Source organism: Homo sapiens, chromosome 1 (genome assembly GCF_000001405.40).
Source record: "Homo sapiens chromosome 1, GRCh38.p14 Primary Assembly".
In the NCBI taxonomy this organism is placed as follows: domain Eukaryota; kingdom Metazoa; phylum Chordata; class Mammalia; order Primates; family Hominidae; genus Homo; species Homo sapiens.
The window spans coordinates 73,678,647-73,706,195 of NC_000001.11; the positions used below are offsets into that span (position 1 = coordinate 73,678,647).

Genomic DNA, 27,549 nt, shown 5'->3' on the forward strand with positions numbered 1-27,549 from the left:
GGAAATAGAGAGGTAGAGAAGTGAAGGTATGGTTATCAAATTAACTGGCTAGATTGGAGTCAGGGTTGTAAGATGGCATAAGTCTTACTAAAAAATTTATTTCCACAGACCTTATATAAGTTTCTTTTATAGTTCATGAAAGGTACTTCTGTAGCTACTTGGTCCATTTGTCTGTCTTCCAATATGAGATAATTCACATTAAAGGCTCTGAAATTATCACTTGTGTATTCATAATGATACACACAATGCTTAGTTGCTCAGTAGATTAAAAATGTTGAATAACTATTTCTTCAAAAAATGGATTTGATGTGTCATACAACTGGATTTTGAAATAGTCTAAGTGATTATAGGAGTTGGAAAAGAGGGAAAACTGTTCAAATATGTACCCAAGTCCTCTTCAAAAGAAGGTGAAAACACTAGAGGCCTATCTACATGACCTAAGATGATGGAAAGTAGGAGGGAACATGGTCATAAAATATATTTACAGAGGAAAGGCTATTTTAGGAAAAAATAAATACAAACCACAAAATTTCAGTGGAGCACTGGAAGACAACTGCTTTTCCTATTGTACCAGGAAATGTTGGGAGAAGAAAGGGCAGATTGGAAGGAAGAGGAGGATGGCCAACTCCTAACTGCTAGTTAAAAGTGAAGAGAGGTTCTGTGGACTTTTTGAGGTCACAGGCTAGATGAGTGTTCTAGGAAAAGAATGATATGTGAGAGAAACTCTTGTAAATAGGACAGGAATTCCGGAGGATACAGTGGAAAATGTTAGTTAAAGGACAGTACAAGGAGTTAAAGCAAAGTACAGGGAGTGATAAAGTTCGATCCAATGGCAATGAGCATATTCTAGCAACACTTCTTGACTTTTCAAGAATAAATCATTTTGAAACCAACTGCATAACATATTACATCAAATGTCACCCTTGATCAGTGTGGAAACTTTGAAAACTTAATTGAAGACGGATTCGGTACATGATCCTCCATTATGTATATTGTTTTATTGTTTTGTGTGATTCTGGAAGATCAATGTTTCACTTTATCTCTGTGGTTATGCTAGCACACTTGCACACCACAATGTGACTACTATGTCTTCACCATTAAACATGAGGCCCTTTGAAGACAAGGCATGTACTTCACTCACCATTACCTACTTTTCACATGAATAATGAAAGTTGATTCCTTAGGATTACTGATATTAAGAAAAGTTATGATTAAAAAGTAAACTCACACTTGCTTCAAGTCTCTGTGTCATTTATACAATGGAGATTAAAAAATTGAAGTATTTCAATTAATTTTATTGAAATGGAAATTTGAAATAATTTTTTAAAAAGATTCCTTGTTCATTTGTCTATAAATATATTATCATTTTCTGTACAGTGCTTGAAAATTTAGCCATGTTTATGAAATAATCACCATGAAATGAAACACCTGCTGCATTTTTTCTAAAGTACAGGGGAATGATAAGTCAACCAGATAATTCAATTGACCAATTTTTTTGACATCAGCAATGATAGATTCTTTTTTTCCCATGATGTTAGAAAGATGCTGATGAAGTATATATTTCTTTTGAAAATTTAAGACATGAAGTTCTTATAATCAACTAATATTATGAAAAGTGCATTTTCCTGTATTGCAAAGGCTCTTAAATTCAAAATTCGAGATAGCATGATTAATAAGAGAATTAATTGTGAATTTAGCCATGTCTTTTCAGAACTGACAGCTTTGCCTCTTCTAATCAAGTACTTGGTTTCACTGCACTGTCAATCCAAAAAAAAAAAGATAAATAAAAGAGACAGTGTCCAGTTTCTATATTATTAATTTACAATACATGGCTAAAAGGTTTATATAAGAATCTTAAACAAAGGCAAAAAAACTCTGATTAAGCAGATTAGAAATAATTTATGGCAGATTATAATAAAATTGTATGATAACAACTGACAATATTATGGAATTGATAGTGTTTTGTTATAAGTGAAAGTAGCCATAGATTCTCTCTCTTTTAAAGGCTGCAATGAGATCATTTAAATTAGATTGTCATGTGGCCAACTCACCATCTACAAGACTATAATCCTATCTAAATGTGCCACAATAGATATCACCATGTAATTATTAAATCAATAAACTAATTTCCCCCTCAAAAATAGAAATTATGTTAATTCTTATGATATAGTGCCAACAAATGTAAGTTTCTGCCTTAAATAATAAGTAATAGACAAATGATTAAATTATTTTATCATTTTATTATTTTTACATTTACTCCTATAGTTCAGCAATTATATAGGACTGAATCTTGTTTCTAAGAAAGGAACAATTACAATTTAACTGCCTAATTAAATGTTGATTCAGAGATTTTAGATTTGATAAATTATTATTACTATTTGTAGAATATAAGTAGTTCCTATATTTTTGAGTGTCAGTTTTATTCATTAACTCTTATTAAATAAGTACTTACTAAGTATTTACAAAAAATTTATTAAAATATATGGAAATAATAAATTGGCAGATAAATGTATTTCATTTTATGATTATTTCATAAACATGGCTAAATTTTCATGCGCTGTGCAGAAAATGATAATATATTTATAGACAAATGAACAGCATACTAAAATATGGTGAGATTCACTATATTTGATTGTGTTATAGGAATCAAATATTTAAATTTTTTTTATGTTAAAAAAGAAGATATAAAGCAAGTGGCAACTTTTAAAACCTTTTTTAGATTTAGCATATATTTATACAATCATCTAGATCAAGATTTTGAACATATTCAGCACCTCAGAATATTTTCTGGTGTCCCCTGGTGTCCTACTCATTAATTACCTACAAAGGTAGCTACTATTCTGATTTATTTTTACGATATATTAGTTTTGCTTATTCTTGAACTTCATGTACATGAATTTATGTGATATGTACTCTTGTATCTGGCTTCTTTTTTTCAACATAATGTTTATGGGATTTCTCTTGTTGTTGCATATGGTAGTAATTTATTCATGTCATTGTTCCATAATTTTCTGTTTTGTTAATATGTCACATTTTATTTGTCAAGTTTGCTGACATCAGGCATTTGCTATTTGCAATTTGTCTTTAGCTATTACGAAAAAAAGTAGTCATGCGTATTCTCGCACTTTTTTTTTTATAGACAGAATTTTACTTTGTCACCCAGTTGGGAGTACAAAAAAATGATCACAGCTCATCACCATGTCTGGTTAATTTATCTATGTTTTTTGTAGAGGTGGGTTCTCACCATGTTGTCCAGGCTGACATTGAACTCCCGGCCTCAGGTCATCCTTCTGCCTTGTCCTCCTAAAGATTTGAAATTATAGGTGCAAGTCACTGTCCCTGGCCTCTTGTACATATTTTTGATGAAGATATACACTTATTTCTGTTAAAAATACGCCAGGCAGTACAATTCCTGGGTCAGTTCATAACATAAACCTATGATCAAGTTTTAGGTACTATGAAGTGATTTTCCAAAGTAGTTTCGCCAATTTATACTCTCACCACCTATATATAAAAGTTCCACTTATACCATCCTCTTGTTATTTCTTGCTATTATTAATCTCATTTTAAAAAAAATTTTAACTTTTATTTTAGGTTTAAGAGTACATGTGCAGGTTTCTTATTTAGGTAAATTTGTGACTTAGGGATTTGGTGTACAAATTATTTTGTCATCCAGGTACTAAGTATAGTACCCAATAGTTTTTACTTCTTGTTTGTTTTTTTCCTGAACCACTATCTCCTCCCACTCTCCACCCTCTGGTAGGCCTCAGTGTCTGTTGTTCTGTTCACCTTTGTGCCATGTGTTGTCATTGTTTAGCTTCCATTTATGAGTGACATCATAGGGTATTTGGTTTTCTCTTCCTGCATTAGTTTGCTAAGAATAATGGCCTCCAGTTCCATCCATGTTCCTGCAAAGGACATAATCTCATTCATTTTTATGGCTACATAGTATTCCATGTTGTAGACATACCACATTTTGTTTATCTATTCTACCACTGATAGGCATTTATGTTAATTCCATGTCTTCGCTATTGTCAATAGTGCTGCAATAAACATGTGTATGCATGTGTCTTTATGGTATAATGATTTATAGTTCTTTGGGTATATGCTCAGTAGTGGGACTGCTGGGTCAAATGGTAGTTCTGTTTTTAGTTCTTTAAAGAATCGCCACAGAGCTTTCACTAATGGTTGACTAATTTAAACTTCCGCCACAGTGTATACACGTTCCCTTTTCTCTGCAACCTTGTCAGCATCTGTTATTTGTTGACTTTTCAATAATAGCCATTCTGACTTGCTTGAGATGGTATCCTGTTGTGGTTTTGATTTGCAACTCTCCAATGATCAGCGATATTGAGCTTTTTTTCATATGCTTGTTGGCTACATTTTTGTCCTCTTTTAAAAAGTGTCTGTTCATGTAATTTGACCACTTTTTAATAGAGTTGTTTGTTTTCTGCTTGTACATTTGTTTAAATTCCTTATAGATTCTGAATATTAAGCCTTTCTCAGATGTATAATCTGCAAATATTCTCTCCCATTCTGCAGGTTGCCTGTTTACTCTGTTGACAGCTTCTTTTGCTATGCAGAAGTTCTTCAGTTTAATTCAGTACCATTCGCCAATTTTGGCTTTTGTTGCAATTGCTTTTGGCATTTTCATAATGCAATCTTGGCCAATTTGTACATCCAAGATGTTATTCCTAGGTTATCTTCCAAGGTTTTTATAGTTTTAAGATCGACATTTAGGTCTTTAATCCATCTGGAGTTGATTTTTTTATATGGTGTAAAAACGGAGTCCAGTTTCTTCTAATTGTATACTGGTATTTCGTTGACAATTATTTTTACACAGGAAAAGTAAGCCTCAGGAAAAAAAAAGTAATCTGAGAAAAATGACAATTTATGTTTTTATAATATCATAATTGTTTTAAAATATCCCAAAGAGTGTAGGCAGCAAAATCATAAACTATACATATTATTTATATTTTGAATGCAAAAACAAAATATTTTCTATTGAGTTTTTTTTTTATTATACTTTAAGTTCTGGGATACATGTGCAGAATGTACAGGTTTGTTACATAAGTTTACATGTGCCATGGTGGTTTGCTGTACCCATCAACCTGTCATCTACATTAGGTATTTCTCCTAATGCTATCCCTCCCCTAGCCCCCCAACCCTGACAGGCCCTGGTATGTGATGTTCCCCTCCTTCTGTCCATGTGTTCTCATTGTTCAACTCTCACTTATGAGTGAGAACATGTGGCGTTTGGTTTTCTGTTCCTGTGTCAGTTTGCTGGGAATGATGGTTTCCAGCTTCACCCATGTCCCTGCAAAGGACGTGAACTCATTCTTTTTTATGGCTGCATAGTAGTCCATGGTATATATGTGCCACATTTTCTTTATCCATTCTATCATTGATGGACATTTGGGTTGGTTCCAAGTCTTTGCTATTGTGAATAGTGCCACAATAAACATACGTGTGCATGTGTCTTTATAGTAGAATGATTTATAATCCTTTGGGTATATACCCAGTAATGGGATTACTGGGTCAAATGGTATTTCTGGTTCTAGATCCTTGAGGAATCATCACACTGACTTCCACAATGGTTGAACTAATTTACACTCTCACCAACAGTGTAAAAGCATTTTTGTTTCTCCACATTCTCTCCAGCATCTATTGTTTCCTGACTTTTTAATGATCGTCATTCTAACTGGCATGAGATGGTATCTCATTGTGGTTTTGATTTGCATTTCTCTAATGACCAGTGACAATGGGCTTTTTTTCATATGTTTGTTGGTCACATAAATGTACTACTACCCCTTTTGTACTCCTTGTTTGAAACTGCTTGAGAAATAAAATCCAAGATACAGACAATTAAAAAAGTAATTGTCATTTTATCATATGGCTAAAGCTATTTGAACACTATGGCTCTAGATTTGCAACCACATCCCTCACCATATTTAGACAGTTATGCCCATTGATGTAGATGATCACATATCTCTCTAAGAGACAGAATCTGCCCACCTCTCTGCCTGAAAGAAAGCTGATTAAATACATTCTCACTTCAGGATACTTTTTCAGCAGGCCCTGAACAAGAACAAGAAATAAAACAAAAAACAAAAAGGAATGGGCTCAGCATACTCTTTACTTCTTCCAAGAGTAACAATTGGATAATTACAAAGAAGTGGAGAGAGTAGAGAGTGGAAAAATTTTCTGGGAGTATTGGGAGTACTAGCATACATGAAGTCTCACCACACGGCTACACAAAGCCAGAGAAATTTCTTCCTCCTATAATTTCCTAAAAGGGCTACTTCTTCATAATACAGCATTATTTAAACAACTGCTCTTTGCATTATCAAAGTACGTTCTTATGTGTACACTTTTGATAAAGATAAGCCTTTGCAAGATAAATTGTCATTTTTTAAGTTGGCAGACTGATCATTATACCTACTTCTTTTCTTGCAGAAAATAAGAGGTTTATTATTTGAAGAGATTCAATCAGAGAGAACTTGGACCCAAGGGCCCAAGACACAGTTGAGGTAGAAATATCATATGAAAAGTAGTAGTATTAAATAAAAGACTACATATTAAATAAAGAAATCTCTAGCATTTTAACTTCATTCAATGCACAGCAAGCCAGGCTTCTCCCTTTTATATAGAAGGTTGGTGCCTATGTAGGAAAATGGAGAACCAAGAGTAAAGGCCTACAGCCATTTCATTCTGTAATGAACTTCATGACTCAACAAGTCCAGCCAATATAAACCTAGATTCCCGTTAGGTTTTTACTTATTCTGACAATCTCCTTTAAGCTATTTAAGTTTAACATGTTGTTATGATTGGATTTAGGCTTATTGTTTGTTTCTTGTTTAGACTTTCTTTTTTGTTCTTTTGCTATCTTCAGGTTAAATAACTATTCTTTTTAAGTAATTTCATTATAATTTATGTATTGGCTTTTTGCTGCAACTTTCTGCAGACTTTTTTCTTTAGTGTTTGCTGTAGGATTATAATGTATAGCTTTTATAGCCCACTTAGTGTTGCTATTACATTATTGAAAATAAATTGTAAGAATTTCACAAATCAGTAAGTATATTTACCACCACCACCATCATTTATGATCTAGTTTTTATTTGTATTATATCTATATTTGTTGTAAACCTCATAAAACAAATAGTTTTTTCTTTAATCATATGCATTTTAAATAAATTAAGAGGAAAAAGTATTTTATATCTATTTATATAATTACAATTTCTGGTTATCTTCATTCTTTCCTGAGGATGTTTCCACCTGGTATCAGATCCCTACAGAATGAAGAATCTCTTTTCATTTCTTATTTATTTATGTATTTATTTATTTTTATTATACTTTCAGTTCTGAGATAAATGTGCAGTACCTGCAGGTTTGTTACATAAGTATACATGTGCCATGCTGGTTTGCTTCACCTATCAACCCGTCATCTAGGTTTTAAACTCCGCATGCATTAGATATTTGTCCTAATGGTCTCCATCCCTTTGCCCCCCATCCACTGACAGGCCCCAGTGTGTGCTGGCCATGTGTTCTCATTGTTCAAATCCCACTTTTGACTGAGAACATGCGGTGTTTGGTTTTCTGTTCCTGTGTTAGTTTGTTGAGAATGATGGCTTCCAGGTTCATCCATGTCCCTGCAAAAAACACGAACTCACTCTGTTTTATGGCTGCATATATTCCATGGTGTATATGTGCCACATTTTCTTTATCCAGTCTATCATTGATGGGCATTTGGGTTGGCTCCAAGTCTTTGCCATAGTAAATAGTGCTGCAATAAACATATGTGTGCATGTGTCTTTATAGTAGAATGATTTATAATCCTTTGAGTATATACCCAGTAATCGGATTGCTGGGTCAAATGGTATTTCTGGTTCTAGATCCTTGAGGAATTGCCACACTGTCTTCCACAATGGTTGAATTAAATTACACTCTCACCAACAGTGTAAAAGTGTTCCTATTTCTCCACAGCCTCACCAGCATCTGTTGTTTCCTGACTTTTTAATGGTCACCGTGCTAACTGGTATGAGATGGTATCTCATTGTGGTTTTGATTTGCATTTCTCTAATGACCAGTGATGATGAGCTTTTTTTCATATGTTTGTTGGCTGCATAAATGTCTTCTTTGGAGAAGTGTCTGTTCATAGACTTTGTGCACGTTTTGATGGAGTTGATTGTTTTTTCTTTTAAATTTGTTTAAGTTCTTTATAGATTCTGGATATTAGACCTTTGTCAGATGGGTAGATTGCAAAAATTTTCTCCCATTCTGTAGGTTGCCTGTTCACTCTGATAATAGCTTCTTTTGTAGTGCAGAAGCTCTTTAGTTTGATTAGATCCAATTTGTCAATTTTGGCTTTTGTTGCAATTGCTTTTGGTGTTTTAGTTATGAAGTCTTTGCCCATACCTAAGTACTGAATGGTATTGCCTAAGTTTTGTTCTAGGGTTTTTATACTTTTGGGTATTACATTTAAGTCTTTAATCCATCTTGAGTTAATTTTTGTATAAGGTATAAGGTAGGGGTCCAGTTTCAGTTTTTGGCATATGGCTAGCCAGTTTTCCCAACACAATTTATTAAAAAGGGAATCCTTTCTCCATTGCTTGTTTTTGTCAAGTTTGTCAAAGATCAGATCATTTTAGATGTATGATGATATTTCTGAGGTCTCTGTTCCATTCCATTGGTCTGTATATCTCTTTTGATACCACTACCATGCTGTTTTGGTTACTCTAGCCTTGTAGGATAGTTTGAAGTCAGGTAGTGTGATGCCTCCAGCTTTTTTTTTTCTTTTTTTTCTTTTTTTGTTGTTGTTGCTGTTGTTGTTGTTTGTTTGTTTTTGCCAAGAATTGTCTTGGCTACATGGGCTCTTTTTTGGTTACCTATGAAATTAAATTTAAAGTAGTTTTTTTCTTTTATTATTATTCTGCAAAGAAAGTCATGGGTAGCTTGATGGGAATAGCATTGAATCTATAAATTGCTTTAAGCAGTATGGTCATTTTCACGATATTGATTCTTCCTATCCATGAGCATGGAATGGTTTTCCATTTGTTTGTGTCCTCTCTTGTTTTCTTGAGCAGTGGTTTGTAGTTCTCCTTGAAGAGGTCCTTCACATTCCTTGTGAGTTGTATTCTTAGGTATTTTATTCTCTTTGTAGCAATTGTGAATGGGAGTTCACTCATGATTTGGCTCTCTGATTGTGTATTGTAGGTGTATGGGAATGCTTGTGCTTTTTGCACATTGACTTTGTATCCTGAGACTTTGCTGAAATTGCTTATCAGCTTAAGGTGTTTCGGGGGTGAGATGATGAGGTTTTCTAAATATACAATCCTGTCATCTGCAAACAGAGACAATTTGACTTCCTCTCTTCCTATCTGAATACCATTAATTTCTTTCTCTTGCCTGATTGCCCTGGACAGGACTTCCAATACTATTTTGAATAGGAGTGGTGAGAGAGGGCATCCTTGTCTTGTGCCAGTTTTCAAAGGTAATGCTTCCAGCTTTTGCCCATTCAGTCTAATATTGGCTATGGGTTTGTCATAAATAGCTCTTATTATTTTGAGATATGTTCCATCAATACCTAGCTTGTTGAGAGTTTTTACCGTAAAAGGATGCTGAATTTTATCGAAGACCTTTTCTGCATCTACTGAGATAATCATGCGGTTGTCCAATTTCAATGTAGTTGTGTGGTTTTGAGTGAGTTTCTTGATCCTGAGTTGTAATTTGATTGCATTTGGTCTGAGAGATTGTTCGTTATGATTTCCATTATTTTGCATTTGCTGAGGAGTGTTTTGCTTCCAATTTTGTGGTCAATATTAGAATATGTGCTATGTGGCATTGAAAAGAATGTATATTCTCTTGATTTAGGGTGGAGGATTTTACAGATGTCTATTAAGTCTGCTTGGTCCAGAGCTGAGTTCAAGTCCCGAACATCCTTGTTAATTTTCTGTCTTGTTGATCTGTCTAATATTAACAGTGGGGTGTTAAAGTCTCCCACTACTATTGTGTGGGAGTCTAAGTCTCTTTGTAGGTCTCTAAGAACTTGTTTTATGAATCTGGGTGCTCCACTATTGAGTGCATATATATTTAGGATAGTTAGCTCTTCTTGTTGCATTGATCCCTTTAATATTATGTGATGCCCTTTGTCTTTTTTTGTCTTTGCTGGTTTAAAGTCCCTTTATCTGAGACTAGCATTGCAATTCTTGCTGTTTTTTTTTTTTTTTTTTTTTTTTGCTTGCAATTTGCTTGGTAAATATTCCTTGATTCCTTTATTTTGAGCCTATGTGTGTCTTTGCACATGAGATGGGTCTCCTGAATACAGCACACTGATAGGGCTTGACTCTTTATCCAGTTTGCCAGTCTGTGGCTTTTAATTGGGGCATTTAGCTCATTTACATTTAGGGTTACTATTGTTATGTGTGAATGTGATCCTGTCATCATGCTGCTACCTGGCTATTTTGCACACTAGTGGATACAGTTTCTTCATAGTGCCATTGGTCTTTATATTTTGATGTGTTTTTGCAGTGGCTGGTATCAGTTTTTATTTTCCATATTTAGGGCTCCCTTCATGTGCTCTTATGAGGCAGGCCTGATGGTGACAAAATCCCTCAGCATTTGCTAGTAAAGATTGTATTTCTCCTTCTCTTATGAGGCTTAGTTTGGCTGGATATGAAATTCTGGGTTGAAAATTCTTTTCTTTAAGAATGTTGAATATTGGCCTCCACTCTCTTCTGTCTTATAGGGTTTCTGCAGAGAGATCCACTGTTAGTCTGATGGGCTTCCCTTTGTGGGTAACCCGACCTTTCTCGCTGGCTGCCCTTAACATTTTTTCCTTCATTTCAACTTTGGAGAATCTGACGATTATGTGTCTTGGGGTTGCTCTTCTCAAGGAATATGTTTGTGGTGTCCTCTGTATTTCCTGAATTTGAATGTTGGCCTGTCTTGCCAGGTTAGGGAAGTTCTCCTGGATAATACCCTGAAGTATGTTTTCCAACTTGGTTCCATTCTCCCCATCACTTTCAGGTACACCAATCAATTGTAGGTTTGGTCTTTTCATATAGTCCCATATTTCTTGGAGGCTTTCTTCGTTCTTTTTCATTTTTTTTCTCTAATCTTGTCTTCATACCTTATTTGAAATAAGTTGGTCTTCAATCTGATATCCTTTCTTCTGCTTGATTGATTCAGCTGTTGATACTTGTTTATGCTTCACAATGTTCTCATGCTGTGTTTTTCAGCTCCATCAGGTCATTTATGTTCCTCTCTAAACAGGTTATTCCAGTAAGCTGTTCTTTTACCAAGATTTTTATCAAGGCTCATAGCTTCTTTGCTTTGGGTTAGAACATGCTCCTTTAGCTCAGAGGAGTTGGTTATTACCCACCTTCTGAAGGCTGCTTTTGTCAGTTCGTCAATCTCATTCTCCATCCAGTTTTGTGCCCTTGCTAGAAAGAAGTTGTGATCATTTGGAGAAGAGGCACTCTGGTTTTGGGAATTTTCAGCATTTTGCACTGGTTTTTCCTCATCTTCACCTCTTCTGCATGTCTGCTGGAGTTTTCTGGAGGTCCACTACAGACCCACTTCACCTGGGTATCATCAGTGGAGGCTGCAGAACAGCAAAGATTGCTGCCTGCTCCTTCCTCTGGAAGTTTCTCCCAATTTATTTATTTTTTGAGATGAGGTCTCACTCTGTAACCCAGGCTGGAGTGCAGTGGTGCAATCTTGGCTCACTGCCGCCTGGACCTCCTAGGCTCAAATGATTCTCCCAATCACCTCAGCTTCCTGTAGCTAAGACTACAGGGTTGCACCATTACATCCAGCTAATTTTTTTTTTTTTTTTGAGACGGAGTCTCGCTCTGTCACCCAGGCTGAAGTGCAGTGGCGATTTCGGCTCACTGCAAGCTCTGCCTCCCAGGTTCACACCATTCTTCTGCCTCAGCCTCCCAAGTAGCTGGGACTACAGGCGCCCGCCACCATGCCCAGCTGATTTTTTTGTATTTTTAGTAGAGACGGGGTTTCACTGTGTTAGCCAGGATGGTCTTGATCTCCTAACCTTGTGATCCTCCTGCCTCAGCCTCCCAAAGTGCTGGGATTAAAGGCGTGAGCCACCATGCCCGGCCACTAATTTATTAATTTTTGTAGAGACAGGGTCTCACTGGGTTACCCAGGCTGGTCTCAAAATCCTGGCCTCAAGTGATCCTCCAGGCCTGGGCACTATAAGTGCTGGGATTATAGGTGTGAGCCATCATACCCAGCTTAAGAATCTTTTAGTACAGGTCTGCTGGCAATCAATTTTCTTAGTTTTGATTTATTTAAAAATGCCTTATTTTGCTTTTACATTTGAAGGATGTATTTCCCAATATATAGTTTTTTTCTTTCTTTTAGTCCTCAAGAAGTAGTTTCATGATCTTCTGAATTCCAATGTTTCTAATGAGAAATACCCACTTTTGAAATTGTTTATTATTATTTTTTCAAGCTTTTTTTTTTTAACTTTTACTTTAAATCCAGCAGTACAAGTGCATGTTTGTTACATAGGTAAACTTGTGTCATGGGGGTTTGTTGTACAGCTTATTTCCTCACTTAGGTATTAAGCCCAGTACCCATTAGTTATTTTTCCTAATTCTCTCCTTCCTCCCACCCTCCACCCTCTCAAAGGCCCCAGTGTGTGTTATTCCCCTCTACAGTTAGCTCTCACTTATAAGTGAGAACATGCGGTATATGGTTTCTGTTCCTGTATTAGTTTGCTAAGGATAATGGCCTCCAGCTCCACCCATGCTCCTGCAAAGAACAAAATCTCATTCTTTTTATGGCTGCATAGTTATTTCACATCCTCCTGTTTTAATGTAATATTTTTCTAGCTCTTTTTAAAATTTTGTCTTTATCCTTAATTATCTCAGTATAACTATGATGTAATTTACTTTGTATTTATTCTGCTTTGGGGCTAATGACTTTTGAATCAATAGATTTGTGACTTTTACTAAATTTGGGAAGTTTTTGGCAATTATTTGTTAAAATATTTTTTTCTGCTTTTCTTTCTTCCCCTTCATTTCTGAGACTTTAATAGCTTGTGCATTAGAACTTTTAATATCACAAATTCTTTAGGCTCTGTTTGTTTATGGGACCATTTTTGTCCTCTGTGTTCTTCAAATTCTATAATTTGTACTGATTTATCTTTAAGTATACTGACTATTTACATAGTACCTATATTTCTTTTTTTAAGCCCAACCAGGTATTTTTATTTTATATATTCTAATTCTCAATTTTCAAATTTCAATTTGATTCTTTGTGGTTTGTATTCTTCTGCTGATATTTCCAAATTGTTCATTTATTTTAACCATATTTTTATTTATATTATTGAACATAGCTATAATAGCTGTTTTAAATGACTTTTCTCTCAAATTTTGCATCTTTCTGTTGGTTTCTATTGATTATCTTTTGTATGAAGTACTGTTCTCAGTCAATGAACAAAACAAACCCATAATCTTTCCTTGTGGAATTTACATTCTAGTAAGAGAAGGCAGACAATAAACAAGTAAATTATATTACATATTAAAAGACAGTAATTACTACAAAAGTGAACAATAAACAGATAATTTTAAATGCGACAATTAGAGAAGACATCACTGAACATGATTGGGGCAAATATTTGAGGATGATGAGGGAACAAGACATTCAGTTCAAATAGCTAAGATGAAGGCTTGAGGCTCAATGAACAAAAAGTGAAAATGCCATTAGGAAAAAGCATGAATGGTGTGCTTAAACACCATCAACCAGGCTTGTTTGCTTAGAATGAAATGGGCAAGGGGAAAGTGCATTTGAAGCAGGTATAGATAAGTAGTGAGGATGCCAAATTATGTATTGGCTTGTAGGCCACTTTAAGGACTTTGGTTTTTACTCTTAAAAAGATGGAGAATCATTAGAGGGTTGTAAGTAGAGAAATAATATTATCTGATTTCATCTTTAAAATATTATATTCATCAATATATTAAAATATTTTCATTAATATATTAAAAATATTTTCATTAATATATTAAAATAGACTATAGAAAAAGAAGGTTATAAGCAAGAGGTCAGGTAAGGGACTGTTGTAAAAATCTGAGAAAGAAAAGGTAATGCCTGGGATCAGAGCAACAGCACCTGATTTGCCGGAAGAAGTGAGCCCTGTTTATGTTGAAGATAAAGTGAAACATATTTTGTGATGATATTGTGAGTTGTGAGAAAAAGAGAAGAGTAAAGCTTAACTTCAGGGTATTTGGTTTAATTGCCTGGAAGAGCCATCAATACTAACTAAATAGGGAAAGGCTTTGGGTAGTACATGTTTAAGGGTTAAAGAACAGGCCTGAATTTAAATTTTTGCCTTGTTACATTTGAGATATCTAACAGACATTCTAATGAAACTTTAAAGAGAGAAGCAAAAACAAACAAACAAACAAACAAAAAACAAAACTTTGGAGTTCAAGTTACAGGTCCATGTCTGATATATGTGTTCAGAAAGCAACAAAATGTAGAATATTTAAAACCATATTGCTAAATTAGGTTACCTATTGAGTTAGTACAAACAGAGAAGAGAACCAAGAGTTGGGTCTTGAGATACCACTACATTAAGAGGCTTAGGGAGATGAGACAAATCCATTAAAGAAGATTCATGAGAATCTGCCAGTTACTTAGGTGGAAATACTAGAGAGTGACATCCTAGAAGCCAAATAAAGCAAGATTATCAATGAGGAGGGAATAAGCTTTTGACAAATACTGATGACAGGTTAATTAACATGAGGGCTGAGAACTGGCTATTTAAATTAGCAAAAATTAGGCCATTAGGAGCTTGACAAAAGAAGTTCCAATAAGAACAAAAAACTAACCTACTAGCAATAAAGATATGTTTCACATGAGTTTAAGGGAAAATGAGATGAGAAAAAATAGAGACAGTGGGTATAAATACACTTTTCAATAAGTTTTGCTGTAAAGATAGAAAAAAATGACTGGTTAGCTGAAGGACAGAGCAGGGCCAAGAGTGTTTAAGATGGGATAACTTATTGTATGATGATACGTTGATAAGAATAAGCCTGTATAAAATGAAAAAATGATATAGACAAAAGGTTTGAAAATTCCTGGAGGGATGTCTTTCAGTATGTGAGAGGATATGGAGCCTTTGAAAGAAGCAGGGCTAATTCATCTATAGTAATAGGTAGGAGGCAGAATAAATATGTCCAGGTGGTGGTATCTGGGTAAATGTCATTCTAAAAGTCTGTAAAACCTTTTTTTTATACAATATTTTCTATCTTTCTCAGTGAACTAGGAAGCAATGTCTTGAGCATAGGAGAGAAGGTCTTGTAAATTTGTATTCAGGGGTTGAAGAAGAAATTCATCATCTATTAGAAAAATTGAATGGACTGGGGTATCTAGTGTGATTGTACAGCAGTATTAAGGATCTGTAATAAATAGAAGGCATTAGAAAAGAAATATTTAGAGAAAAAAGAATTCATAGAAATTAACTTATGATAGCAAAAATGCAAACTTCAATTGAAAATCTAGAAAAAAATTTGAGGAAATATCCTAGAATAAGAAGTAAAGAAGTAAGTGGTTATAAAATAGGGAGAAAATTTCAAATATAGGGGAGCATAATATCTAAATAATAGAAGTTTTATAAATAAATAAAAAATAAAACGTACAGGATTATAAAAGAGTGAAAAATTCATGAAAATTACTGAGATAATTTTCAAGATCTCAAGATTAGAAAAGATTTAAAAATTACTCCCAAACAGGAAAGAAGCACAACAGATAAGAAGGAAGAAAAAGATTCACACCAAAGCCCCATTGACATGATATGAAAATTTAATACAGGAAGGCTCAGGGCAAAACAATAATGTCTTCAAACTTACAAGAGGAGTTAATTCTCAATTCATATATATATATATATATATATATATATATATATATATATATTTTTTTTTTTTTTTTTTTTTTTTTTTTTTTTGAGATGGAGTCTCCCTCTTGTTGCCCAGGCTGGAGTGCAATGGTGCAATCTCAGCTCACTGCAACCTCTGCCTCCCAGGTTCAAGTAATTCTCCCACAACAGCCTCCCGAGTAGCTGGGATTACAGGCGCCCGCCAACATGCCTGGCTAATTTTTTTGTATCTTTAGTTGAGACGGGGTTTCGCCATGTTGGCCAGTCTGGTCTCAAACTCCTGAACTCAGGTGATTCTCCTGCCTTGGCCTCCTAAAGGGCTGGAATTACAGGCGTGATCCAGCACGCCCCAGCCAATGTATCCATTCATTGTGAGGCTTCAATACATACATTTTCAGACTTGCATATACCCAAAAAAGTAATTTTGTTGTGTTGTTTTTCAATAATTTATTTAAAAATTTGCTTCACCAAAAGGAGAGAGTCATGAATAAAGAGGAAGACTTTGGATAACATACAGGATATTTATTACAGGCAAAGGGCATCCTGCAGATGATGGTGAAGGGAGATTCCAGGATAAGCACATTCGTTAGGACTTCCATTCAGACTGCTATATGAGGGCAAGAGCCCTGGCAATAATGATTTTTAAAAAGTCCAAAAACCTTAGAGTTCCTGATATGTGTAAACAACAGAAAAAACAAATATCTCACCTGATTCCCTGTAATTGCCTCCTAACTCTTCTCTCTGTTCCACCCTGTTTGCCTCCCAATATAGTCCCCACTATTCTCAACCCAGCTGCCAAGCAAATCCTCTTAAAATGCTTTTAAAAGACTTTTAGAAACACATTCTTTTAAATTCTTTTAAAACTCAAATAATATCACTTCTCTGCTCAAACCCTGAAAACTTATTTCCCATAAAATAAAATCGAAGTTTGAACAGTGACTTACAAGTCCCCACATATGTAAACCCCATTTCCTAACTTTATCTCCTACTCCTCAACTCCTCATTCTGTCAGTTCCTACCACACTTTTCTCCAACATGCCAGGCATGCTTCTAGATTGGGTCCTTTGCTCTGACTACTTTCAAGGATGTAAAGGAGGTCCTTTAAACCTCTTCTCTAATGTCAGCTTTTCAAGGAGACCTATGAACTCTGCTTTCTATTCATCATAGCCTACCCTACCTTTTGCCCCCATAACTTCTAGCACTTCTAATGTTGTAGATAGTATGTGCCTTGTTACAATATAGTTTACTATATGTCTCACTGGCCAGATTGTGAGCTCCAAATAGTCAGAGAGCTGTTTATGAGGATACTGTTAGGTTCCAGATTCTCAGAGAAGTACCTAGCAATTTAAAGGCACTCAGTAAATATTTCTCAGAGAATTGTTTCTGTGCCAGATTTTGAGGATGAAGTAGCAAACAATATGTATTAAACAAAAGAAAAAATGCTCCAGTTATTAATTCTAAAAAAATAATATTTGTACAAAAAATAAAATAAGCTCATAGTCTACTACCTCACTCAGCTGTGGAAATATTTACACAGTATTTATAATACAAGCCTTGCTTATATTATATTATATATTATATAATAAAAGCTTTGTTTATATTACTATAAACAAAATTGGTGATATAAACTTAAGAGAAAGGTTGAAGGAATAGTGTGTATGTGTGTAATAAGTAAAAAAAAACCTAGGTCTTCCTATAATTCTAGGAAATAAAAGTATATATCTAACTAAAATATCACAATTACAAAAATTGCGAGAACAATTTTAATAAAAAATAGTGGCAAAGGGCTGGGTGTGGTGGCTCATGCCTGTTACCCCAGCACTTTGGGAGGCTGAGGTGGATGGATCACTTGAGGTCAGGAGTTTGAGACCAGCCTGGCCAACATGGTGAAACTCCATCTCTACCAAAAATACAAAAATTAGCTGGGCCTGGTTGCAGGTGCCTATAATCCCATCTACTCGGGAGGCTGAGGCCAGAGAATTGCCTGAACCTGGGAGGCAGAGGTTGCAGTGAGCCAAGATTGGGCCATTGCACTCCAGCCTGAGTGACAGAGTGAGACTCCATCTCAAAGAAAAAAAAAGTGGCAAAGTTTTTTTTTTCTAGTGGGTAGAAATTTGGGAATTTGGGTGATGAAAACTTTTTTTAATAGTGAGATATAAAAATAATTTTTAAAACTGTATCCATCAGTAACTTGGATTTATCTTAAAAATAAATGTATAAATATTTTAAAATGTTATTCATCATTTTGTGAACTATTCTTCCTTGTCATGGTCATAAGCTTTAGGTTAACACCAATGAATCAAAACCACTAAATAATTTAAGCCCCTTTTTCATTTAGAGGTCCAGAGCACTGACAAACTAGTTTAGCCAATTTGTATTAAAAATGGATCCACTGGCCGGGCGCAGTGTCTCACGCCTGTAATCCCAGCACTTTGGGAGGCCGAGGCGGGCCGATCACGATGTCAGAAGATCGAGAACATCCTGGCTAACACGGTGAAACCCCGTCTCTCCTAAAAAATACAAAAAAAAAATTAGCCGGGCGTGGTGGCGGGCGCCTGTAGTCCCAGCTACTAGGGAGGCTGAAGCAGGAGAATGGCGTGAACCCGGGAGGCGGAGTTTGCAGTGAGCTGAGATCGCGCCACTACACTCCAGCCTGTGTGACAGAACAAGACTCCGTCTGAAAAAAAAAAAAAGGATCCATTTATTTAATCATAATTCTCTCCGAAGCTATGGCACAAATAACTCATTTAATGTTTATTAAAACATATTACTGGAACCATACCAGTCTAATTTATGCAAAATTTGTCTTGATTACAATACGTGTAGTTCATATGGCTCTTACATAGTACAAATGGGTTTGTAATTCTTTGGCTGTTTAAGGGGATGATTTACAAGTAAGTTTTGCATGGTTATAACTTAGATTTGACTTAGAATGAGTTGCAAATTTAACCCTCTCACTCAAATAACAAGAAAATAAAGCATGGCAATTCTAGAAAGACTAGGACATTTAAAATATGGAACGAAGTTAACTTCTGAAAGATAATGGAAACCTCAAAGACAGAATCATTTTAATGTTGGGATATTTCTGCAAGTGTTTTGTAAATGTGCTCCTTAGCTTCAAAATCAAATCTGCTAAGTGAACTGAAGTGAGAAAATGAAGTGCATTGTTCAAGTTCCTGAATGTCAGGCTACAAGTTTATCATTTCAAAGCTTAAAATGCTTTATAGCTTTTCAACTGGCCTGTGAATAGAGGTGAATATATTAGTTAAGCCAAAGACACTTTTTATAATCTCACTTAATTTTATTTTTTCTAAATCAGGTTCACAGAGAAAAAATATTCTTTTTCAGTAAACTTTAATCATTAACCAAGTACCAATAAGAAGAAATATATACTCTTTACCTTATATTTGAAAGGTCAGCTGTCTGTCATATATTCTTTTTTGCCTTGAAAGCAGTATGAGATTACACAATCTTATTTTACTTGGCTTGCTTCAGATTTATCACTTCTCCAGCTATCAGTGGAACACAGCTTATAGCATGTTGTTCACATAAGCTGTGATATACATCTGCCAGCAAAACATTCTAGTTTCTAAGATTTCTCTCTCTTCTTCATAAGAAAAATTCTTCCATTTCTCATTTGCTTACTTCAGAAGCATCCCTTTTGAAACATTTCCCTGTTGTAATACATGTCTGGTTGCAATCACTTGTGAGACTTGGCTTTGGATCATGGTACAGTAAAATACAATATATGATCTAATTCATTTAACATAATTTCAATGAACAACCATTACATGCAAAACTTTTAGTGGATGTAAAAGGATGTGTATCGTGTATTATATGAAGTCTCAATATAAATAATAATAAATTTTCCAAAGATAAAAGGGATCCACGTTAGAAGTAGTTTCCCATCACCAGAAGTATCATACATGGGAAAGATGACTAATTAGTACATGATGAATTTTTCTGAGTATTACATATGAGGAAGAAGAATCGATCACAGAGTAAGGTGGGATATTGTGTAGTAAAGAATTTAATCTTGCCCCCAAAATAGTATGGGCCTTGCCCTTGATTTCTGGGAGGTAAACTATAAGCCTTTGGAATGTCATGGATGATAGGATTATTTTTATATGCCTGGAGGCCTTGGGTCATGCCAGACAGTCTAACAATGTTATTCAGGAAACCAGCCACTTTGTTGGCTTCTAGTGAATTTTCCTGTAAGTGCACTAATCCATTGTCCACTTAGATTAACCTGACCAATAAAGACTGGAACTCAACCTGCTGTATTTGTCTCATAGATAACTTAATTTGTCTTAATAGATAACTATTAACAGAGCTCCAAGCATCAGGATGAGGCCTACCTGTAGGACTGGCTCCAAACAGGCCTTCCAAGTCCCCAGACACCACAAGATTAATACATTCCACAAATCATCAGGATCTAACTTAGGAATCTAGCTTCATTTTTTCTTTCTTCAGTTTGTGTGTTGAGTTTTCTATGGTTTTTGTGTTATCCCCTTCACTCGGCCCAAGGTAGAGCAGAATGTGTTAGCAGTTGCACAGACTCTGCATTGACCAGCAAGAAATAATTCTGGGGAAAGTCTATTGTTCATCATAATCCTGGCCAGTGTTTTGATGCTGAATTGAATGCCATGTAGGGATAAAAGTGTACATGGATTAATTCAGCTACAGTCAGAGACAAATTTTACAACATATTTTCCTAATGGGAGAGCTCTCATTGTATAGATAACTGACTATAGTATGTAAATAATAAGCTAATTATTCTTCCTATAAGTTTTCTCCCAAGTAACTAATGGCAACTTCATTTTAGAGAGACCTCCACAGTCATGGGAGGGATATAAGTTTACTGGTGACATTCCCTTAAATAAGTGAAGGCCTCTGGGACAATTCCTAAAGTGCCAATTTCTGTGTTTTGGGGAAGATGGCAAGATAATGTCTGGCTTCCACACAAGAAGCACAGTCCTGGAGTTACATATGGGAGGAAATTGTTGTTTACAGTTGTTGGGACACCCTAAATAGCAATGATATGAGTTGGGTGACAGGTTGACATTTCTTCCAACAGTCCTCTCAACCAACTGATATGCCTTAGAGTTGCCAGTTCAGTTTGAATATTTTACTCTAGTTCTTGTTTTGGAGGGAATGTTTGAAGACAGTTGGTTCAACCTGTCCTGTTTGTTCATGTCACCAGATGGGTGGTATGTCCTCTTTCTTCATGTCACCAGATGGGATGGCTACTTTGTGGAAAAATGGAGAGAAGAGAAGACTACAGTGATGGGACCAGGTACTATATCCAGTGGTATTTTTCTTGGGAGGTGCTGGAGTCAACCTACTGTTTCCAATACACTTCTTAGTAAGATTAAGAGAAATGGCAATCAAATTATGGTCAGACCAGAGTCATGATGTCATGGTGAGAGGGTAGGGAGGGGATGGCAGTCAACCCAGCAGTCAGTTACATTTAAGGTGCTTGCCACAGTGTGGGAGAGCCACACAGGGCATTTTCCTTTATTAGAAAGGGTGAAGGCAAAAGAGCTTCTGAAAGACAAATTATCATTAATGGTTCTTTCTCTTCCATACCTCCCAGGGTCTAAGGTATTTTCATTCTCTCCTCAGATACTAGGGTTACTCTACTCCACTAGCTCAAAATCAATCTGTTCCTCTCCAGTAGCTATAAGATCACTGTTTTTCCAATAATTTCCTATTCACACCTAGAACATTTGTCCATAAGAGTCAATTGCAAGAGAGGCAAGAGCATTATTATAAAACTCAGCCACAATTAAATTTGAATCCCCTCTTTTGGCTGAATTGCCACTTGGAGGGTGCATCAGCTATGCCTGCCTAGGGTTTCCATTAGAGGGAAAGAAGTACCCATCATGCCCAGAAATTGTCAGGGTGGAATCCTGAACTTTCATCACTTTTATAAATATTTTTACTCTTGTAAGACTATTTTTCTCCCAGTCCAGTCTCACTTGGCTAACTCCCACTATTTCTAATTATAAGTATCTCCACCAGAAGTTCTTTCATCCCTCTTGACTAAGTTAGTTGCTTTTCTACTTTCTTCCAGAAAGTATCTTCCATAATATATAAAATTGCCTACATAGATTCCCAAGTTCCCTACCCTAGTCTTTACTGGCTTAGATTATGTTTTAATCAATAGTGCATCGGCAGCTTTTAGCATAGGACCTTGCACATAATTGATCTTAACAGTGTAGAATAAATGAATAAAAGAAACCTAGAAAAATAAAATCTTTGCAGGATAGTTTCAAATCATCAATAGAGAGAAACTAAGGCTCAGCAATCTCACTGTCAAGTCCAGAAAATGTGCATTTGTATACTGATTGCACTATTGTTCGTAATAACAAAAATTGGTAACTAAATATTGAACAGTGAAAGAATTGGTTAATAAATTGTGAGGCATCTCTGTTGTAGAAAACCATGCAGCCACAGCAAAGAAGATGTTGGACCTATATACATTTTATACATTGAAATAATGTATCATTCACATATTTAAAAAATAGCAAGTTACAGATTCTTATGTATACCATTATCCCATGATTATGATTATTAAGAAACAAAATGTACACTTGCACATAGGTCAAGAGAAGACAGAGAATGAGAGAGACAGTGAGAAAGATATGAAGAAATCCAATTAAAACACAGGAATGCTGTAGCCATCTCTAAAGAGGGGTTACTTCTGAAGGTGAACTGGAGTTGGTGGAAAAGACTTTTGTTCATTTCTTTATATCATGCAAAAAAAATTGGAACCAAGGGTAGTTTCTCATATTTTGTTATTTCTATTGTTCAAATAGCTTAAGCAATACATTTTGAAAGAGGAAACCAGATAAAGTATTAGCAGTGCTATTTTAGTGAAGTTAGATTGAAGGTAATTTATCTTACTACTTATATTCTGCTGTATTTTTCACTTTCCTGCAATAAGCATATATATTAAATAAAAGTTATGTAAGAATCTTTCTTGGCAAAGCCTGGAAAAGCAATGAAGATGATTGCTAGAGCAGAGTATGCTATTATTTTATCTTCTACTCAATTCATCTTGAAAGTAAATAGACTGTAATGTAGGCCATAATTTTGTGTTTAATTGCCACCTATATATGTTTCTCTCACTGCAATTAAAATGGACATAATGAAGAAAATGTTTATACCTTCTGTATAAATCATCAGAAAGTGTCCCTCTGGAGTTCTCTGTCAAGAGTAGTTGTAATGTTTGTATTTTAAGTATTTATTATAATAGTGTGAAAACCCATCTTGCTTATTCCCACAGTGTCTGGGCTTATATTAGGCACATGTAGATTTAATAAATGTTTATTGAACACCAAAATCATTGAATAACTCTAAAACTATAAAATCAAGTCAATTAAATAGAGAAAGAAAGTTAATTCCCCTAGGGAGCTTTTTCTGAAACAAAATTTCACAGCCTGGGGAAATATCCATTTTGGAGTTGAACTCTTTATGGCTAAAACTGCATGGGGTGTCATGATAAATACGTTTCCTTAAGGTTGCCTTTGTCTGACTGCTAGCAACTCACCAGGTGGCTGCAACTGTGGAAAAATATTTAGTTCTTTAAACATTTCAGTCATGCAGTAGTTCTTTAAACAGTGACAAATAGCCAACATTTCTCCATAGTTTACAACCTTTTTCTTAATAGGTTTTCCAGTGGGAGTGAGAGCTCCTATTTAGTCAACATTTAGTTAATGTTATTTTTCTAATTATCCAATATGACTAATTTAAAATGTCTTAACTTTTAATCAAATCATCTTTCTGCACCAGCATGGCTACTTTTTCAAATGCATAGTTTTATAGTTCTCAGCCTACTCAACTGTTCAGAAACAACTCTCCTTTAAATTGTGAATTTAGCAAACATTATTGACTACCATGTTCTGGTCCAAATCTACACCAAAATAACTCTATTAAAGCTATCAAATTGTATACTAGTAATACATGTAAAACTTTAGAATATTTGCATTTGACAATCCATTTGACCTTTGCTTTCATCATTCCTCTATTCTAAAAGTTAATCTTAATCTTCACTTGTTAAAATTTATTTCATTTATAAAATCTGGCCAAATACCACTTCTTGATGCTTAATTGATTCTCCTTATTCAGAAGTCATTTTTCCTTCCTTTGAAAATTCATGGTATGTTTTTATTTACATTCAAACGTGTTTTTATATTGTGCAATCTGTTTTCACCTACCTATTTTGTTGATTCATCTATCATTTATTTGATACTCCATAAAGTATTCAGTAAGCATTAATTATGCGCATTGTACATGATGAGTACCATTTTTAGGCACTGAAGAAGTTATAGCAAATATGAGAGAGTTTTGTCCTTAAGGAGCTTACTATCTGGGTTTTTCACTTAATGCATTCCAATTTATGTTAAAATTTCTCTGGTCTTAGAATACTAAAATGAAAGCATCTTAAGTAAGGAGATATCAATTTATTTATTCTTGGATACCTCTTTGCTCATCACAGAGTACATAATGAGCTTTGCAATATTTACACTAATATAACAAATTATTATTGATCAAATATGTTATAATATATTATCTCTTTTAATCCTCATTGCAACTATAAGATATGTACAATTAGCCTTATTTTAAAGATTTTACTAGAATTTCATTGGTTATTCATACCAAATAGTATATCAAAAATTTCCAAAGATTTCTTAAATAGTAAAAATTGTAAAAATATGCAACTCAGTGGTCAAGAAATCAGAGGCTGTATGGACCAAATAGCATGACCATTGTTTTCTGCCTAATAGCAAATGTAAGGATTCTAAAATAGTCATGATTATTTGAAAATAAGTATTATTGCCATATAACTAGACATGTTTAAAACATTTCTCACAGAAACAGTGATGAAACATAGAAATAAGAGCTTCCAAAATTGATATAAAATGTGATAAGACACTAATAATCACTATTATTATTATAAATATTTAACCTTATAATTGCCATAGAACATGGGATATTAATATTCTAACTTTTATAACTATATTTAAAAACTTCAATGATTGTAGAACACATCCAGTGCAGGATCAGTCATTGAATTAATTTACACATATGTAAGTCTAATACTGGCTTCCTGGGGTTAAAAAAATATGATTCATCTACATAACCCAGAGCTCTCATGACACTATACTCTTTTGATCTCTGTCATTTACTTCTTCATTTCTTGAGCTAGTCTTTCCAACCTCACTTAATCATCACAAATTAAAGTTTCTCAGATTTCTTGCTAGGCCCCTTATCTCCTGACTTTATTTTCTACAAATGTAATCATAGTCACCCCCATAACTTTAATTACGTGGCCATACTTCAATCATTGCCAATTTTCTAGCTGTAACACTTGCTCACTAATTTATGAGGTTCAACCTGACTGCAGAATGGGTTCAAAACTATTTTTTTTTTTAAATCCAAAGGCTATTTTCCAAAGAATTCTCCATGGCTCACTCTGGCAGATATTTTAGTTTAACAGAGTCATAGAGCACCATGTAAGCTGTTGTAAGAATTTGTTTTCACCTTCAAATGAAATGGTGACTGTAAAAAAATATGTGTTTTGGGGTCAGGGGTGGGGGTGGGGAATGGGCAGCCTCAAGAAAGCAAGAAGAGAGCAGTTAGGACAGAAGTTTGAACAGACATGTTTTGCTGATGTGAATATTACAAAAAGAGAGTAATCAAGGATTAATATAATTTTTTTCATCCAAGTATCTAGAAATTTGGAGTTGTCATTTACTGAGATTGAGAAAACTGCAGAAAAAGCAGCTGTGGAAACACAAATGGGATTACACTTTAAAGTTAAGTTTTAGAAACCTATTTTATATCCAAAAGAAGATGTATGAGTCTATATTTGAAGGGAGATGTTCAAATTGAAAATAGAGACTTGGAAGCCATTAAATGGGTTTTAAAGCAGTGAGATTTGATGAAATGCCCTCTTGAGTAAGGGACCAGAGGGGTAGATCTGACTTATTTGTGACTTAGCCCTTGACATGTCTCAGAACAAACATAGATGAGGCTGTGCAGATACCACATAAGTCAGTGCAATTTAGACTGTTAATGTGAACACGATTTATTTCACTTACAGACAAATTAGGACCTCAAGGAACACAGATTAGAGTCGAATAGTTGAGTATATATTTGTCTCATTTACTAGACTGGGGATTTCTCAAAGCTAGAAGTCATATATTATTTAATAATTTCAGCTAAGACTATTTCTTGAATATATTAAATGTGCAATCATTGTTGAGTTAAAGAGAATAGGAAAGTATTCCTATAGAAAATGCAGTTGATGCCCACGCAGATCTTTGCAAGCCAGGTTTGCACATCCTTCAGCCTTTGCATTGTTTCTGTCTTCACTATTCTCTGGAGACTTGCCCTTGGCAGATGAGAATGACCTTGCAGGGAGAAGCAGGTTAGACCCCATCCCCTTCCAAGAGTTACTAGTAGTCAATGCCTGACTTGTGAAGCCCTTAAGAGTCTAGCACCTTTAGCTCTGTGGTGTAATTCAGTTACCAGAGCTCCCCAAATAATCAGACCTGGGCTACATTTCTCCTGAAACCATATCTTTGCATAGCTTCTTCTCCTGCCCTATCACTTGAGTTTCTCTTGAGAGCCCTCCTTCAATGAGTCACATGTGCAAAGATTTCTGCCCTAGACCTTACATCTAAGAAACAAGAAATAAAGTAATAGCCAAGTCACAAATGGACACATATGACTCCCCAAGCATTTATCTAATATAATTAAATTAACCTAGAACTTCTAAATTATTAAACCTTTCTGGTTTGGGGGATGGAATGGAGAAGGGATTCTATTCTGTATTATTTGTGAGCTTTCAAATATAAGTGACTCTGGAAATTTCAGGTCATCGCTTATTTTTCCCCCACGTCTCACCCCAGCAAAATGTCAGACTCCTCTTTTTTTCCAAGGTAAGGAGCCGCTCATAGGTGAATGTATAAATATGTAAACTTTCAAAATTAAAGTCATATTTCCAATGTTGTAGAGAGAAATGCATCATCAGGCAAATTCATCTCTATGTGAACATCATAGAGTGTACTCATACAAAGCTAAAGGGTGTAGACTACTCTACACCTAGAATGTATTGTATAGTCTATTGCTTCTAGGCTACAAATCTGTACAGCATGTTACTGTACTGAATAGTATAGACAATTGTAATACAATGGTAAGTATTTATGTATCTCAACATATTTAAATATAGAAGAGGTACAGTAAAAATATGGTATAAAAGAAAAAATGATAAACCTGAATAGGGCATTTACAATGAATAGAGTTTACAGGACTCAAAGTTGCTCTGGGTGAGTCAGTGAGTTAATGACTGAATGACTGTGAAGGCCAAGGACATTACTGTACACTACTGTAGACTTTGTAAACACTGTACACTTAGACTACACTAAATTTATTTTTTATAATTTTATCTCTTCAGTAATAATGTTATGTGTGTTATTGATTTATGTACTTTGAACCATCTTTATGTCACTGGGAAGAATCCTACTTAACCACAGTCAATTATCTTTTTAATATATTGTTTAATTCAGTCTGCTGGTATTTTGTTGAGAATTTTTGCATTTATGTTCATCAGCGATATTGACCTGTAGTTTGCTTTG

At 34.9% G+C, this 27,549-nt stretch overlaps 1 long non-coding RNA gene across 1 annotated transcript in view; it reads left to right on the plus strand.

Annotated features, from left to right (window-relative positions):
- LINC02238 (long intergenic non-protein coding RNA 2238) overlaps positions 1-27,549 on the plus strand; it is a 63,964-nt gene that overhangs the window by 3,968 nt on the left and 32,447 nt on the right. Inside the window, exon 2 of the long non-coding RNA NR_146300.1 lies at positions 21,105-21,197. This is a non-coding gene — a long non-coding RNA (long intergenic non-protein coding RNA 2238). The remainder of the gene's footprint in view (positions 1-21,104; positions 21,198-27,549) is intronic.